The sequence below is a fragment of the Homo sapiens genome, chromosome 7, assembly GCF_000001405.40.
Source record: "Homo sapiens chromosome 7, GRCh38.p14 Primary Assembly".
NCBI classification, from domain to species: Eukaryota; Metazoa; Chordata; class Mammalia; order Primates; family Hominidae; genus Homo; species Homo sapiens.
In genome coordinates this window covers 10987761-11007193 of record NC_000007.14, presented here as the reverse complement: position 1 = coordinate 11007193, position 19433 = coordinate 10987761, and the positions used below count along the sequence as shown (strand labels likewise).

At 40.1% G+C, this 19433-nt stretch overlaps 1 protein-coding gene and 1 pseudogene across 4 annotated transcripts in view; one reads left to right on the top strand and one right to left on the bottom strand.

Annotated features, from left to right (window-relative positions):
- The window catches only part of PHF14 (PHD finger protein 14), a 195747-nt gene that overhangs the window by 162425 nt on the left and 13889 nt on the right, over positions 1 to 19433 (bottom strand). For all 4 annotated transcript variants that reach the window (NR_033436.2, NR_033435.2, NM_001007157.2 and 1 more), the window contains one exon: positions 16347 to 16491. Coding sequence is in view for 2 of the 4 variants with exons in the window: in NM_001007157.2 (NP_001007158.1) it covers positions 16347 to 16491 (145 nt within the window). In the remaining 2 variants the exon portion in view is untranslated. The remainder of the gene's footprint in view (positions 1 to 16346; positions 16492 to 19433) is intronic.
- Positions 316 to 842, top strand: RPL23AP52 (ribosomal protein L23a pseudogene 52; annotated as a pseudogene).

The window sequence follows — 19433 nt, the reverse complement described above, 5'->3', positions numbered from 1 at the left end:
GAGACGGAGTTTCGCTCTTGTTACCCGGGCTGGAGTGCAATGGCGCGATCTCGGCTCACTGCAATCTCCGCCTCCTGGGTTCAAGCCCTCCTGGGTTCAAGCGATTCTCCTGCCTCAGCCTCCCAAGTAGCTGGGATTACAGGTGCCCACTACCACACCTGGCAAATTTTTTGTATTTTTAGTAGAGAAGGGAGTTTCACCACATTAACCAGGCTGGTATCAAACTCCTGACTTCAGGTGATCCACATGCCTCAGCCTCCCAACATGCTGGGATTAAAGGTGTGAGCCACCGCGCCAGGACAAGAAATGACTATGCTTTTCACAAGACAGTGCCGAAAGTGAAGGAAGCTCCTGTCCCTCCTAAAGCTGAAGCCAAACCGAAGGCTTTCAAGGCCAAGAAGGCAGTGTTGAAAGGTGTCCACAGCCACCAAAAAAGAAGATCCGCATGTCACCCACCTTCCAGCAGCCCAAGACACTGAGACTCTGGAGGCAGCCCAGATATCCTCGGAAGAGCTCCCCCAGGAGAAACAAGCTTGACTACTATACCATCATCAAGTTTCTGCTGACCACTGAGTCTGCCATGAAGAAGATAGAAGACAACAACATGCTTGTGTTCACTGAGGAAGTTAAAGCCAACAAGCACCAGATCAAACAGGCTGTGAAGGAGCTCTGTGACATTGATGTGGCCAAGGTGTCAACACCCTAATTCGGCCTGATGGAGAAAAGAAGGCATATGTTCGACTGGCTCCTGATTACAATGCTTTGAATCTTGCCAACAAAATTGGGATCATCTAAACTGAGTCCAGCTGGCTAATTCTAAATATATGTGTATGTTTTCACCAGAAAAAAAAAGAAAAGAAATGACTAAGAAAATGACAGGCAAGTAACAGAAAACAAAATGTGGCAAATGGCCACAAGATGCCAAACTTCATTCTTAATAAGGTGAATGCACATTGTAATAAAGAGATTATATCCAAAAGAATAAAAGAAAATTTACAAATATGCAATGTTATCAAGTAGTTTGTGCATTGTTGGTAATTAGTACAGTCCTTTTGGTAGTCAATCTGGAAATGGTTTTTAGAAGTTTAAATACACTTATCTTTTGACTAAGAAATTTTACTTCCCTGTAATCCCAGCACTTTGGGAGGCCGAGGTGGGCAGATCATGAGGTCTGGAGATCGAGACCAACCTGGCCAACATGGTGAAACCCCGTCTCTACTCAAAATACAAAAATATAGCCGGGTGAGGTGGCGCATGCCTGTAGTCCCAGCTACTCAGGAGGCTGAGGCGGGAGAATCGCTTGAACCCAGGAGGCAGAGGTTGCAGTGAGCCGAGATCTCACCTTTGCACTGTAGCCTGGTGAAAGAACGAGACTCCGTCTCAAAAAAAAAAAAAAAAAAAAAAAAGAATTTTTACTTCTAGGTATCTATCCCACAGAAATTATTACATATATATACATGGCACATGTTTGTCAGCACTATATATAAGTGAAAAACTTGAAACAAAAAAATAAGTACATTATGGTTGAGCCATTCTATGTATCATTAAAAAGAATGAAATATCCCACATACACTGACATGAGAAGAATTACAGAATTAACAGATGAGTGAAACAAAGCAAGTTGTAGAAAAATATCTTAGGGATTTATCCAGTTTATTTAGAGGTAGAGACAGAAAAGTGGTGGACAAAACAGAGAAACAGTGAGAGAAAGAGAGAGAAGTGTTTGTGTATACACAAGGGCCTTCTTAAAGGACTCTCACTGGTCAAACTTGGACAATGTAATAAGTAACAGAAACAGCAATCAGTTAATAGATTATAACATATGAGCTCACAGTAATACTGAAAAGGAAAAAAAGGGGAAGAGAATTTCTTTACACAGTAAATGCTTCCTAATAAATGTAGGAGGAATTAGAATTGGAATTAGCAAATTTCCATCTTGCAGCCTACATATGTAATCAGTGTAATTGTAATCAGTGACTTTGACAAGGATGCTAAAACTATTAAGTGGAAAGTTGCTAGAGAATGGCATATTAACAGAGTCTCAAAGTTATTACCCCACAGATTTATCATTAATTACAAATAGAAAAAAAAAACCTTTAAAATTAAGAGGTCTGTGGTTGACATCACCTAAACTATCACCAATAATGCAATAAATTGACATTATACATTTTTTTTTTGAGACGGAATCTCGCTCTATTGCCCAGGCTGGAGTGCAGTGACAGAATCTTGGCTTACTGTAACCTCCGCCTCCCAGGTTCAAGCTATTCTTGTGCCTCAGCCTCCCAACCAGCTGGGATTACAGGCTAATTTTTGTATTTTTAGTAGAGACGGGATTTCACCATGTTGACCAAGCTGGTCTCGAACTCCTGACTTCAAGTAATCCACCCACCTCGGCCTCCCAAAGTGCTGGGATTACAGGCATGAGCCACCGCACCCAGCCACATTATACGTCTTTTGATGTGATATAATGGGAACTAAACACCAGCACAATACTCTTACAAAAAAAAAAAAAAATTTAAACTGAATCTAATCACAAGAAAACAATCAGATATATCCAGACTGAGAGATATTCAATATGACATTATAAAAACTAAGATTCTTCAATATGTCAACATCATGAACACCACAAAATGGCAGAAAAATTGTTCTAGATTAATGGAGACTAAAGAGATATAACACAAGTGCAACTCATGGTACCTGAATGGATCCTGTGGGGTGTGGAGAAACCATAGTGACAATAGAGGTATACAGATTATAAGAAGAGTGTGCATATTATTGGCTATTAAATTAAAAATATATATTTGTGTATATGTATGAGCAAGCAACCAAAAAAAAAAAAAAAGCCTGGAAGAACAAACACTAAAGTTTTAAGCATATTTACCTCTAGGTGGTATGATTATGAGAGATGTTTTCTTTTTCTTTTCTTTTTTTTTTTTTTTTTTTTTTTGAGACAAAGTCTTCCTCTGTAGCCCATACTGGAATGCAGTGGTGCAATCTTGGTTCACTGCAGCCTTGAACTCCCTGGCTCAAGCGATCCTCTGCCTCAGCCCCTCAAGTAGTTGGGACTACAGGCGCAAGCCACCACACCTGGCTGATTTTTCTGTATTTTGTAGAGACAGGGTTTCACCACATTGCCCAGGCTGGTCTCAAACTCCTGAGCTCAAGCGATCCACCCACCTCAACCTCCCAGAGTGCTGGGATTACAAGCGTGAGCCACCAAGCCCAACTGGGAGATGTTTTCTTAGCTTATTTCTACTGATGTTTTCCACAGAGGACATATATCTACATAATAAAATAAAGTTAAAAAACCCCTGGTACACAAGGTACAACAGATGGGGTAGATACATACCAAATTGTTAACAGTGATTCCCTATGCAAAGAGAAGTAGAGTTGAGACAGACAGCATAACTATTTTTACATATCTACTCATATGTCACTTATAATTAAGAATATTTTAATGAATTAATTCAAGGTAATAAACTTGTACTGTGTATGGGATTCATGTTAAATGTAAATTTTAGCTGTTCTTGTCACAAAAACAAAAAAATAGGTAATTTCTGCAGAAGGATGGACTTGGTAAACTTTTTAAAAATTGGGTAATTATGTGAGATGATGGATATGTTCATTTCCTTCACTACAGTAACCTTTTTACTATCTATATGTATCCCATAACAACATATTGTATACCTGAAATATACACAATAAAATATTTAAAAATAAAATTAAAAGTAAGATTTTTCAAATCTCCAAATAACAGGAAGACAAACGGTAAACACTGGCTTAACACCTATGTATTTAGGTTATATTTGTGGAACAAGAGGAATCTGGGTAAAAGGAAAAGCATATATGAAAGCCCCCAAACACTGGAGAAAAAGACAAGTCATTCAAATGGTCAGGGTATGGGATCTCAGAGAGTCCTGCTATTAGCGTGAACTTTATTTTAAGGGACTGATTTTAAGCAGAAAATAATATGAACAGATATGCACCAGCACTTTGGGAGGCCAAGGCGGGCGGACCACGAGGTCAGGAGATCAAGACCATCCTGGCCAACATGGTGAAACCCCATCTCTACTAAAAATACAGAAATTAGCTGGGTGTGGTGGCACACGCCTGTAATCCCAGCTACTTGGGAGGCTGAGGCAGGAGAATTCCTTGAAGCTGGGAGGCGACAGTGAGCGGAGATCATGCCACTGCACTCCAGCCTGGTGACAGAGCGAGACTCCGTCTCAAAAAAAAAAGAAAGAAAAATCACCCTGAAGACAGTAGAAGAGCTGGAGCAAGAGGTGGCACATCTCTTTAGCAGATACTACCCAAGCTTCCATCTGCATTGACCCTCAACCTTCTATTGGTGCTCACACCGTTAATTTTTGTCATCAGCATTTCATTTTTGCCTCTTCTTTCCTGTGTTTGCCCTAACCATTATTAAGAGGATTAAGAAGTCTTAATTTTTGGCCGGGCGCGGTGGCTCACGTCTGTAATCCCAGCACTTTGGGAGGCAGAGGCGAGTGGATCACCAGAGGCGGGGGAGTTCAAGACCAGCCTGACCAACATGGAGAAATCCCGTCTCTAATAAAAATACAAAAAATTAGCTGGGCGTGGTGGCGCATATGCCTGTAGTCCCAGCTACTCTGGGAGGCTGAGACAGGAGAATTGCTTGAACCCAGGAGGTGGAGGTTGCAGTGAGTCGAGATTGCTCCATTGCACTCCAGCCTGGACAACAAGAGCAAAACTCCGTCTCAAAAATAAATAAATAAATAAAATAAAAAGTCTTAATTTTTAGAAACCTCACTGTCAACCTGATATTTGCCTTATACCAGGAACCATACTTCATTCTACATTGCTCTGGCTCCCCCCTTGACCTACACCTGTGGCTGTCTAAGCTCCAGCATGACATCGTCCACATTGCAGAGTTCCTTTTATCCCCCCATTTTTACTTTCTTCTAAACCAATGTCTCTCAAAGGATGATCCTTCCCATCTCCTGCATGAGGAATCTTGAGGCACCTTTTAAAATTATACACATTAGGGGAGGCTGAGGCAGGAGAATCACTTGAACTCAGGAGGTAGAGGTTGCAGTGAGCCGAAATTGCGCCACTGCACTCCAGCCTGGGCAGCAGAGTGAGACTCTGTCTCAAAACAAACAAGTAAAAAAAAAACACAAACAGAAATAAGGAGTAATTTCCTCAACTAGAGCATAAAGAAACTACAAAAAAAACCTATAGCTAACATCATACTTAACGATGAGAAACTAGAAGCTTGCCCACAAAGATGAGGTATGAGGCAAGGATGTTCTCTGTCAGTACTGCTTTCAACATCAGGTAATAAGACAAGAAAGGGAAACAAAAATATACACACTGGAAAGAAAGAAATAAAATTATCTTTGCTTTCAGATGACATGACTGTCTAAGTAGAAAATCTGGAAGAGTAGCCAAAAATTTCCTGGAACTAAAAAGCAATTATAGCAAGACTGCAGCATACAAACTTAATATACAAAAGCCAATTGCTTTCTTATGAAAGCAATGAACAAGTAGAATTGAAATTAAAAACAAAATTCCATTTACATTAGCACCCCCCAAAAAATAAAATAATATTGCCAAGATCTCTATGAAGAAAACTGCAAAACTCTGATGAAAGAAATCAAAGAACTAAATAAATAAATGTTTATTATGTTCATGAATAAAAAAGCTCAATATTGTCAAGATGTCATTTCTTCCCAACTTGATCTATAGATTCAATAAAATCCCAATCAAAATTCCAGGATGTAATTTTGTAGATACTGCAAACTGACTCTAAAGTTTACATGGAGAGGCAAAAAACCCAGAAGAGCTAACATAATATTGAAGGAAAAAAAACAAGTCAAAGGAGTAACACTACTCAACTTCAAGACTTACTATGAAGCTGCAGTAATCAAGACAGTGTGGTATTAATCAAAGAATAGATATATAGGTCAGTTGATGAACAAACTGAGCCCAGAAAAAGACCCAAAGAAATATAGTCAACTGATCTTTGACAAAGGAGCAAAGGCAATATAAGGGAGCACAGACAGCTTTTTTAACAAATGGTGATAGAAAAATTGAACACACACATGCAAAATAATGAATTCCGAGACAGACCGTATACTCGTAACAAAAATAAATTCAGACCCAAATGTGAAATGCAAATTTATAAAAATTTTTAAATTTTTAATTAAGAAAATTTATAATTAAAAAATTATAGAACTAGAAAATAACACGGGAGAAAATCTAGATAACCTCAGGCATAGTAACGACTTTTTAGATACAAGACCAAAAGCGTAATAAACAAGAGAAATAATTTATAAGTTGGACTCCATTAAAATGTAAAACTTCTGCTCTGTGAGAGATACCTTCAAGAGAATAAAAAGACAAACTACAGACTGGGAGAAAGTATTTGCAAAAGACCTATCTGATAAAGAACTGATATCCAAAATATACAAGGAACTCTTAAAACTTAACAATAAGAAAACAAACCAATTTTTAAAAATGGGCAAAAGATCTGAATAGACACCTCATCCAAGAAGATATACAAAAGGTAAATAAGGGTGGGTGTGGTGGCTCACGCCTGTAATCCCAGCACTTTGGGAGACCAAGGCAGGTGGATCACTTGAGGTCTGGAGTTTGAGACCAGCCTGGCCAACATGGCAAAACCCCATCTCTACTAAAAATAAAAAATTAGTCAGGTGTAGTGGTGTGTGCCTGTAATCCCAGCTACACAGGAAGCTGAGGCACGAGAATCGCAGGAACCTGGGAGACAGAGGTTGCAGTGAGCCAAGATCCCACCACTGCACTCCAGCCAGAACAACAGAGCAAGACTCCATCTCAAAAAAAAAAAAAAAAAAAAAAAGGCAAATAAGCATATGAAAAGATACTCCACATCATACAACAGAAAGTCTAATAATACAACATACAAAATCAATCATACAACAGAAACTCCAAAATTAAAAAGGGAAATGGGAAATTATTTAAACTAGAGGATGAAAGTAGTAGCGTAATTTTTTAAGTCAAAACGTATTTTTGACCTTTTTGCATCTTTTGCATCTTTACTTGGAACATATATAAAGTTCACAGAATTCAAATTACTACCAATAAATTAATTATACAAAATAAAGATTCACCTAAAGTGGTCAAAGACTATTCAGCTTCCCTATTTATGCATCAATTTCCCTCTCCTTCTCTACTTTCTTCCTTCTCTGTAACAAAAATAGGTCTCCAATTCTAATGAATTAGTTTTAGGAATTAAATGAGTTATCATTAGCAAAGTCTCAAAAATATTTATAACTTGGACTGCCATCAAAGTCAGTTAAATCAATTACACAAGAAGAGTTGTTACATGACTTTATATAGACACAACATCCTGTTGACTTAATTGGCATTACCACTCAGCTTGATCATCTCATTTGTCTGCCTTGATTCAGACTTTTTAAATGTTTCTGAAAATCAAAGCTACTTTGGAAAGAAGGTAGATTTTCCAGTACCGAGGCTATTCATCTGAAGCAGGGGTCGTATTATGAACTTTCAATAGCTGTAAGCATGTCAGTGGAACTAATGTTGTGCCCTTACAGAAATCTATGTTTATCTGAACAATGAATCTACTGGGAAAGAACTCATCCTAAGTTAAGAGTCCAAGGAGCAAAACATGACTCAAAAACAACAAAATAGAGAGCGAGGGTCATTTTGAAATGTACATGGAACTAGTCCCCAGTGGACTCAAGCTTGTGTCCTAAAGTAAAAGCTATAGTAAAAGAGTTGCTTTACTATTATAGATGTGAGACATTGAGACCACAAGGCATCAGCAGCCCAAATATCAGCAACAAGAGACAGTACCCTCAAAGCAGATAAGGAACTATATATTCAAATATCTCCAGGGACTAGGCAACTAACAAAAATGAGTAAGTGGTTTGAGAGAGGACTGGAGTGAACTGGAGACCACAGGCCTTACTATCAGGGGGCAGCCTTATTCAGCTCCAGCAGATTGTGCTAGAAGAAAGTGAAAACTACTGCAAGGGCAGGCATATGCCTTTAATGCCTTTAGTCACAGCTACTCAGGAAGCTGAAACAAGAAGATTGTTTGAGCCCAGGAGTTTGAGGCAAGCCTGGGGCACTCCATCACTTAACAACAACAACAACAGCAAAAAACCCTAGTGCCGCCAGAACTTTGCAAAAGAAGCTTGAAATCCTAAATGTGTACGATTTCCCAATGTCTAAATGTTAGCAACCAATTCAATTACTCAAAACTACTGTGCTGGCCTAAAAAAATACATCCATAGTCAATGACCACAATCTAAGAAGTAGACCTAAGAATGACTTAAGAAGTAGAGATGGTACTCAGCATTATAATGAAGCAGAGAAAAATAGAGATAGTGCCCTCAGCATCATAAGAGAATCACCAAAACTGACAGAACTCATCATGACTGTATCACACATCAGCAATGACATTCATGGATATAAGCAGCAGTAACATGTTTGTGATCATCAGTGATCAATGTAACAAACACTGCCAAAGTAGCTGCTACTCCTGAGTTAACATATTCTTTACCTACTCCCAGGAATCTGAACCACACCTGGAGAAGAAAAATACACATATATTCAACCATGTTTACTTTTCTCAGTAACAGTATTCATTACCACTAATATCATATTCATATGAATATATTTATATTAATGAGCTCTTTATATTCATTACCACTAATATCAAGTGGTCTTATTGCTGTGTATGTGTGTGTATATATACATATATGTGTCTGTGTGTGTATACATATATATTTTAGGTATATGTTTCCTTATTCAGTTTATTCTCCCAAATAAATTTATACAACTCTGCCTCCCCAAATCTCTAACTCCCCACTGTCCCACTCTCTGCTAATGGCTTTGCTTCCTATTTCACTGAGAAAACAAGAAACATTTTAAAAATAACTTACACATGCTCCAACTACCACATCTAACAACCTAGCTACATCTGGACCCATATATCCTTTTTTCCCTAATTACTATGGTTACTCTTATCTACTCAATCTCTCTACTTGGTACTGGATCTCATCCCCTCTAATCTTGCACTCAAAACCTTTGTTCCAGCAATTGTTCCCCCTTCTTTCCTCACTATTTTCCTTATATCACCAATTCTCCCTTTCCACTGGGTCACTTCCATGAGCACACAACATGCTATATAATCTCTGCACATGTGGTAGGCAGCCTCTAAGATAGCCCTTAATAATCAGTGCCTCCTGGTATTTACACTCTTAGAATGCCCCCACCTACATCTGACTAGGGTTGGCTTGTGTGAACAGCGGAATATGGCAGAAATGGTTGTATGCACTACCAATATTAGATTATAAAATATACTAGCACTCTGATACAACTGCTTCCGTCTCTTTCTCTCTTTGATCACTTACTCTGAAGCCAGCTGCCCTTCATGAAGACATTCATGCAGCTTATGAGGGAGGTCCATGCAGTAGGAAACTGAGGTCTCTGGCCAACAGCCATCAAAGAACTGAAGCCTACCAACAACTATTTGACTTAGCTTAGAAGCAAATCCTCCAGGTCCAGCCAAATCTTAAAATGACTACAGCCCAGGCTATGGCTTTGACCTGCAACTTCATGAGAGACTCTAAGCCAGAACAACCCAACCAACTGCTCCCAGCTTCTTACCCCTTAGAAATCATGTGAAATAATAAATGTTTGTTGTTTTAAGCTGCTATGTTTTGGGATAATTTGTTCCACTGCAGCAGATAATCAATACAGCATCTAAAATAAGAAAGAAAAAAACCCTCCCTCAATTTCACATCCCTTGTCCCATCTCCTGGCTTCTCTATATAAAAACTCATCACAGGAATTGCATTTGGTCACTTTTTGCACTTTCCCTTCTTTTATTCTCACTTTGAACTCTCTCAGGTCAAGATGGCCAATGACCCTCATGTTACTAAATTCAGTGATATATTCTCAGTAATAATGTCTTTTTGCTCTGCTTGAGGATATTAAACTCTACTATAGAGAAACAAAATGAGATCAATAAAACTTATATGTGTATGTATAGATAAAAAGTAAGTAAAGCACGTATGCATTAAATACAGACAGAAAGGGATAGAAGGACCAAGATGTATCTAATATTCTTGAGGCAAATATGCAAAAGGCACCAAAGAGTCAGAATACATTAAACATATATGCGACACTTAGAACTCAATATTCCTGAGGCCTTAATTTGGCCACCCATTGGTGATACCTACTCTGTCCACTAACAAATAAAAATAAAACCTACGGCTGTTGAGTAGATTAACTGGAGAGCTAACGCCATGACCAGGCATACTTGCTCCTGTATGTTCCTGAGAGTGTGCCTATCTTTGGCCCTGGGCACCTATCTTGTGGGCTCTGGTTCTCACAACCGCAGCATTAGCAAAGAAGGTTGATAAGCCAAAACATATCAACACTATGTACCCCAGGATTTATTTAGGTAGTGTGGTCCTTCTATCCTACTTAAACCCCAGCCTAAATGAGTTAACTTATCCTCTATCTTTCCCCTTGCTTCTGTGTATTTTATATTTATTTAATGAATCATGTGATATAAACATTTTATCAATTAGTTTTTTTTTTCAATAACCTCTGGGATAGCTTGCCTGGTGGTGTACTTGAAGTCCAGCATTGAATTAGGGTGATTTCCCACTCTTAAAAACATTATTTGACACATTTACTGACTCTCTTTTTGAAACAGTTTTCTCTGGGTCATCACCCATGGTCCTCATATCTCACTGGCCATGTGTTCCCCATCTCCTCTAAAGTACTAGGATGACTTTGTTACAAGCATTTAGTCTTACATCTTTGCATAACATCTTCAGGCTGATAAGTCCCAAATTTAAATTTCTAGTCCTAACATCTTACATAAACAGAGTTTAAAACCAAACTTTTACTATCTACCTCAAAACCAATTCCTCTCTTAGATAATTGCAATGGTCTCCTAAATATTTTCCTAGTTTCCCACCTTAGATTCACTTCAGTCTACTCCCAACCCAGCAGTCTGAGTGATCCTTCCAAAACATGAATCAAACCATATTAATCCTCTGCTGAAAAGCCATGTTATGGCTTCCCACATCCATCATAATGATAGGTGACAGCGTGCTGGCAGCCCTCACAGCCCTCGCTCACTCTTGGCACCTCCTCGGCCTTGGCGCCCACTCTGGCCGCACTTGAGGAGCCTTCAGCCTGCAGCTGCACTGTGGGAGCCCCTCTCTGGGCTGGCCGAGGGTGGAGCCAGCTCCCTCAGCTTGCGGGGAGGTGTGGAGGGAGAGGCACGGGTGGGAACCGGGGCTGTGCAAGGCGCTTGCGGGCCAGCGCGAGTTCCGGGTGGGCATGGGCTTGGCGGGCACTGCCAGCCCCGGGCAGTGAGGGGCTTAGCACCTGGGCCAGCAGCTGTGGAGGGTGCACCGGGTCCCCCAGCAGTGCTGGCCCGCCGGCGCTGCTCTCAAATTCTCGCCGGGCCTCAGCTGCCTCCCTGCGGGGCAGGGCTCGGAACCTGCAGCCCACCATGCCTGAGCCTTACCCACCCCGCCATGGGCTCCTGCGTGGCCTGAGCCTCCCTTATGAGTGCTGCCCCCGCTCTGTGGCGCGGTCCCATCGACCACCCAAGGGCTGAGGAATGCGGGCACACGGCATGGGACTGGCGGGCAGCTCCACATGTGGCCCTGGTGCGGGATCCACTGGGTGAAGCCAGCTAGGCTCCCGAGTCTAGTGGGGACTTGGAGAACCTTTATGTCTAGCTAAGGGATTGTAAATACACCAATCAGCACTCTGTGTCTAGCTCAAGGTTTGTAAATACACCAATCAGCACTCTGTGTCTAGCGCAAGGCTTGTAAATGCACCAATCAGCACTCTGTATCTAGCTAATCTGGTGGGGACTTGGAGAACCTTTATGTCTAGCTAAGGGATTGTAAATATACCAATCAGCACTCTGTATCTAGCTAATCTGGTGGGGACTTGGAGAACCTTTATGTCTAGCTAAGGGATTGTAAATACACCAATCAGCACTCTGTGTCTAGCTCAAGGTTTGTAACACACCAATCTGCACCCTGTGTCTAGCTCAAGGTTTGTAAATGCACCAATCAGTGCTCTGTGCGGACTTGGAGAACTTTTGTGTCTATCTCAGGGATTGTAAACACACCAATCAGCACCCTGTCAAAACAGACCAATCAGCTCTCTGTAAAATGGACCTATCAGCAGGATGTGGGTGGGGCCAGAGAAGGGGATAAGAGCAAGCTGCCCCAGCCAGCAATGGCAACCCGCTCGGGTCCCCTTCCACACTGTGGAAGCTTTGTTCTTTCGCTCTTTGCAATAAATCTTGCTGCTGCTCACTCTTCGGGTACGCGCTGCCTTTATGAGCTGTAACACTCACCGCGAAGGTCTGCAGCTTCACTCCTGAGCCAGCGAGACCACGAACCCACCAGAAAGAAGAAACTCCGAACACATCCGAACATCAGAAGGAGCAAACTCCGGACACGCCGCCTTTAAAAACTGTTAACACTCACCGCGAGGATCCACAGCTTCATTCTTGAAGTTAGTGAAACCAAGAACCCACCAATTCCGGACACAATAATAAAATCTAAAATCAGTACCGGAATCTGCAAGACCCCAGCTGGATTACTCCCATCTCTACTCCCACCACTAACCAGCTTGCTCACCCAGTTCTAGCCATACAAACTTCTGTGCCATTATACAAACACTCTTAAGCATGCTACCACTTCAAGATCTTTTTTTTTGAGACGGAGTCTCACTCTGTTGCCCAGACTGGAGTGCAGTGGCTCGACCTCAGCTCACTGCAACCTCTGCCTCCTGGGTTCAAGCCATTCTCCTGCCTCAGACTCCTGAGTAACTAGGACTACAGGCACATGCCACCATGCCCAGCTAATTTTTTGTATTTTTAGTAGAGATGGGGTTTCACCATGTTGGACAGGCTGGCCTTGAACTTCTGACCTCAAGTGATTCACTGCCTCGGCCTCCCAAAGTGCTGGGATTACAGGCGTGGGCCATTGTGCTTGGCTGAGATCTTTACATTCACTACTCCCTCCACTTGCAGTGCTCGTTCCCAATATATTTAAGTGACTTGCTCCTTTACTTCCTTCAGGTCACTGCTCAAATATCCTCTTATCAGAGTGGATTTCCCTTAACAACTTTTTTTTTTTTTTTTTTGAGACAGAGTCACCCTCTGTCACCCAGGCCAAAGTGCACTGGCGCAATCTTGGCTCACTGCAGCCTCCACCTCCTAGGTTCCAGCAAATCTCCTGCCTTAGCCTCCAGAGTAGCTGGGATTACAGGCACGTGCCACCATGCCGGATTAATTTTTGTACTTTTAGCAGAGACGTCGTTTCACCATTTTGGCCAGGCTGATATCAAACTCCTGACCTCAGGTGATCCGCTTGCCTTGGCCTCCCAAAGTGCTGGGATTTACAGGCATGAGCCACCGTACCCAGCCCCTTATCAATTTTTACAAATACAAACTTCTGCAACTCACCCAACCACCCTCACACACAGCATTCCTATACTCCTTGTCCTACTTCATTTTTCTTCAGAATCTGGGCCACCAACTAAGAGATATTTATTGGTTTGTTTACTGCCTGTCTGTCCAGACATTAAGTTCCACCAGGTCAACAATGTGTACATTCTATTTCATATGCCTAAAATTTACAGAATACCAAGCACATAGAAGGTACTCAACAAACATTACTAAAAATATAAATGAATAACAGTAACTGGAGATATTCCCACAGTGAGTGTTAGCAGCAAAAAAAGGGCAGCTCCACATGAAGATCAGAGCATTAGCTAGAGAATCACAGATCATGCAAAGTCCCACAAGTCCAGCAGACTCCCAGAATTACTTGGGACAAGGGCTGTAATACCAGAAAAGCAGGTAAGAGAAAGGCCATAGAAATACTGTTTTGTGGTAGTCACAGCCCTGATTAAAAAATAATAATAATAATAATAATTAATTGGTAAGAAAAAATAACTTTACCACAGATAAACCAGAAAGACACCCTCTCAACCAAGTGATCAAAATATCACCAGTATTCTAAATTGGTAGGCTTATGCAATAAAAATGAGAAAAAAAGTAATAGTAATATCACCAGTAACTGCACAAATAAATATCATATGCTTCCTAATACGATGCACTAAGAACACTATATAACTTCCGTGGTATTCCGGCCAAAAGCATATAACCCAAATCTAATCATATTAGGAACATTCTGTAAAAACAAACCAAAATAAAAAAAACTGGACTATATATTTAAAAATGTCTATGAGACAGAAACTCAAGGACTGTTCTACATTAAAGGTGACTAAACAGACATGACGATTAAATGCAATACATGATCCTGGCTTTGATTTTGTTAGAAATGACATTGTTGGGACAATTGGCAACATCTGAATACAATCTATATAAATTAGATAAAACAGCATTTCATCAATGCTAACTTCCTGACTTTGATAATTATGTGGTTATGTAAGAGAATGCCTTTTTTTGTTTGTTTGTTTAAATTTTGAGACAGTCTTCCTCTGTCGCCCAGGCTGGAGTACAGTGGCACCATCTCGGCTCACTGCAACCTCCACCTCCTGGGTTCCAGTGATTCTCCTGCCTCAGCCTCTCGAGTAACTGGGATTACAGGTATAAGCCACCACGCCCGGCTAATTTTTGTATTTTTAGTAGAGATGGGGTTTCGCCATGTTGGCCAGGCTGGTCTCAAACTCCTGACCTCAGGTGATCCGCCCGCCTCGGCCTCCCAAAGTGCTGGGATTACAGGCGTGAGCCACTGCACCCGGCCCTTTGCTCTTAACAAATACATACTGTCAGCCAGGCACGGTGGCTCATGCCTGTAATCCCAGCACTTTGGGAAGCTGAGTCGGGTGGATCACTTGAGGCCAGGAAATCGAGACCAGCCTGGCCAACATGGTGAAACCCCATCTCTACTAAAAATACAAAAATTAGCCAGGCATGGTGGCAGGCACCTGTAATCCCAGCTACTCGGGAGGCTGAGGCAGGAGAATCGCTTGAACCTGGGAGGCAGAGGTTGCAGTGACCTGAGATTGTGTCGCTGCACTCCAGCCTGGACAAGAGCAAGACTCTGTCTCAAAAATAAAAATACAACTATGAAAGAAGAAGCTACAAAAAATTGATAGAATATAAATTTTTTAAGAATGTTTTCTATCAGACTAAAATAGTCAACTTTTTCCTACTTCTGAATTTTATTTAAAAACTAGAAATAATTTTTAAAAATTTAAAATTAAAAAAAAAAAACTGGAAATAAGGCCTGGCACACTGGTTCATGCCTGTAATCTCAGCACTTTGAGAGGCCGAGGCAGGCAGATTGCTTGAGGCCAGGAGTTCAAGATCAGCCTGGGCAACATAGCAAAACCCTGTCTCTACCAAAAAAAAAAAAAAAAAATTAAAAAATTAAAAAATTAAAAAAAAACAAACAAGAAACAGTACCATAAAATACAATACCAGAACACCGACCTTTAAAGAAACACTGATTTTCATATAGCATTTCTATTTTCATTATTTAAAATTTTTTTTTTAATTAAGATGACTGGGGGACCAGGTGCGGTGGCTTACGCCTGTAATCCCAGCACTTTGGGAGGCTGAGGCAGGCGGATCACTTAAAGTCAGGAGTTTGAGACCAGCCTGGCCAATATGGTGAAACCCCATCTCTACTAAGAACACAAAAATTGGCCGGGCGCGGTAGTTCACGCCTGTAATCCAACACCTTGGGTGGCCAAGGCGGGTGGATCACGAGGTCAGGAGTTCAAGACCAGCCTGACCAATATGGTGAAACTCCATCTCTACTAAAAATACAAAAATTAGCCAGGCATGGTGGCTCGTGCCTGTAATCCCAGCTACTTAAGAGGCTGAGGCAGAATAGTTTGAACCCAGGAGGCGGAGGATGAAGTGAGCTAAGATAGCACCACTGCACTCCAGCCTGGGCAACAGTGCGAGACATCATCTCAAAAATAATAAATAAATAAAAATAAAATAAAAAAGAACACAAAAATTAGGTGTGGTGGTGGGCGCCTGTAGTCCCAGCTACCCAGGAGGCTGAGGCAGCAGAATCGCTTGAACCTGGGAGGTGGAGGTTGCAGTGAACCGAGATTGTGCCACTGCACTCCAGCCTGGGCGACACAGTGAGACTCCATCTCAAAATAAAAGAAAAGATAACCTGAAAAATAGCATCCATACTTTGATGATTTAGCATTATTTCAACCGAAACACCATGAAATATTGTAGAACCACCTTAGTACAAATGTAAAAGAGCCACAGTCAGCCATTTCTAAAAAGAGAGAAAAGAAAGCAACATTACCTTCATGGACTGTAATGCCACAATTGTCACACTGAATTATTTCATCAGCGTCCTCACTATTATCTCCCAGACAAACACAGCAAATCAGAATATGGTCCATTTTTTGAGAGCTCCAGTTTTGACTCTTCTCAAGAATCAGCGAGTCCTAATATTAAAATATTAACATATATCAGAAAATCACATTTAAAGTAAAAAAAAAACTTAATCACTAAAATTCTTTATTACTTAAACATTATTATATGCATTTCCAAATGTATGCCCCATTTTCCATTCTTTTATTAACTTCAAAGTACATTATATTTGAGAAATATATACTTGACCTCTTTATCAAAGAACCCTGTAAGCACCCTCTTATTTAATTTTTCACTTCTCTGCAAGCTTCGTATTCTCTCTCCTCTAGGATATGAAAAAGCACGCATGCAACTAACTACTGTTGATCTGCTTTGCTATTCTGCTTTGCCCCTTAAACTAGGAAAAACGAAAAATGAATCCACAAGTAATCAAAGTAATCATTGATCCTATACATGTGTTTTAAAAGCACAAGACATGATTCTTACACTTTAGGAGCTTATAATCCTACCTAGAGAAGACAAGACGCACATATACAAAATAGGAAAAAATCAATTCAAAATAACATATAAGCAAGTATGTATGTGATGGCACACTTAAGGACTCTATACTCCTTAAGTACCGGGAAATTCAGAAATTCCAGCATTATCAAACTACTGTAAGACAGATCCATGAGAGCCTGCGTAGGTATATGAATACACAGAGATACAGAAAATAATCTAAAAAAGGATCCAGATTGACTAGCTGCTAGAAGGGTCAGAGAACTCTATTAAGTAGGTCTCTATCAAGAAATATCCAGTGTAAACTGGTAATAAATACATCTAGCTAGTGATACTATAAAAAGAGAGGATGGGCACAGTGGCTCACACCGGTAATCCCAAATACAGTGGGAGGTTGAAGCAGGAGGATCACTTGAGGCCAGGAGTTTGAGACCAGCCTGGGCAACACAGTGAGATCCTGTCTCTACAAAATATTTTAAAATTAGCTGGGCGTGGTGATGCATGCCCTTAGTCCCAGGTACTCAGGTGGCTAAGGCGGGAAGATCACTTGAGCCCAGGAATTCAATGCTGCAGCAAGCTATTATCTCGCCACTGCACTTCAGCCTGGGGGACAGCACAAGACCCTGTCTCAAAAAGAAAAAGTATAGGAAGACGTATTAATAAACTAATATTTAAAAGATAAAATTTCAGAAGAGGGTCTGCTTGTTTGCATTTAAACCTTCTGCATTATAGATTTAAACTTTAAGTAAGTTAAGAAAATGATTCTTGCATATTTAATAGATTGTGCTTAACATTACATATAATAAAAGATGGCACTTGGGTCCATACATTTTTATTTATGAACCTAACAATATTCAGAAATAAATTTAATAAATTAGTTTCATACAATACACAATATATATTTTTCATAAATATGTTTTATTATTTTTTATATTTTTATATTCTTTTAAACTCAACCAATATCCAAAAGTAACATTTGGAGCCATCATTTCAACAGCAATTTGTAACTGACACTTGAATACACTTGAAGGTCACAATTAATAATTCTTCCAATATACTTTGTGTATAACATCTAAAATTGCGGCAGATTTGTAAAACAATCAGAAAAGAATGCAAACATCAACAAGAATATAGTATCATTTCTCTTTAGAATTCTAGTATTTCTAAGTTCTGTATTTTGCTTCTCTGTGTTATAAAACCAAATAAAATAGGTCTGGGGCTGACAAATGGCTGGCAAATAAAACTGAAAACATCCTAAAGAAAACTCATCTGGTTTTACAGTACCAGAGTAAGCAAACAAAAATCTGCCCAGATTTTCATACTACTAGCCATGCTTCAAAGTTGACTTGAAATCAAACATTCCTAAGTTTCTTTCTCACCTCTCGCTTATTCCCTACTGAACCTCGAAGCTGTAATTTCTTTATCTGCAAAATGGCGATAAAAATAATATCTACTTCAGGAGGTTATAAGAATTAACAATATATGGCAAGAATGTTCCTGGCACAAACTAGACACTCAATAAATGGTCAATGCCTTTTCCTTTCCGCTGTATCTCTTGTTAAGGTGGTTCAAAAAGAGGAACATGAACTGATAATTTATTACACTGAGGATCTTCCTTGTACCCCCAAAAGAAAAGTTGCAAGCTCCAATGAGCACTACTACTTTAAATATCATCCCCACGGTAAGTCCAAAAAAGACTTTCCTTGGAATACCACATCTAGGTTAAAAAAAAAAAAAAAAAAAACAGACTAGAAACTAATTTAGCAAACAATCACAGTTTGAAAATTAGGATGCTACATGTCTTTATGGACTGTGTGGTAATTTCTCTGGTGGAATTAAAATTATTCAGCCCTGGAAAAAAGGTTTACCCATATGGGAAACAAGTAAATTTCTAAAGGTCAGAAAAAGTTGTATCAAAATGCAGTTCTAATTCCTCTATTTTCCTATTTTTCCATTTTGCTCAGAAAAACCATAAATGCCTAAATCATATCTCTACGCCAATTTCTCTCCACATCTATTATCATTTAGAGGCAGAGAAAACAACATTAACTAATGTTTCTGGCCCTCTGATCCTCATGACTTGAGGCTCTTAATAGAAATGTAACGCAAAGAGGGAAATAGGGAAAACTAGAGATAAAATATTTCCCTAACTAAATGGCTAGCAGACAATGTTTCAACTGGAAAATCTAAGTAACACATCCTCCTTAAAAAAAATTAGGATCTCAGTTTTCTTTTTTTTCTTTTTCTTTTTTTTTTTTTTTTGAGAAGGAGTTTCGCTCTTGTTGCCCAGGCTGGAGTGCAATGGTGGGATCTCGGCTCACCGCAACCTCCACCTCCCGGGTTCAAGCGATTCTCCTGCCTCAGCCTCCCGAGTAGCTGGGATTACAGGTATGTACCACCACGCCCAGCTAGATCTGTTTTAACAGATCAAACACAAGTTTAAGCACACTTATGATTAGATCAATACAAAACCTGATTTATTATCAACTGTTGTTAGTATATTTCTGAAGACGTATAT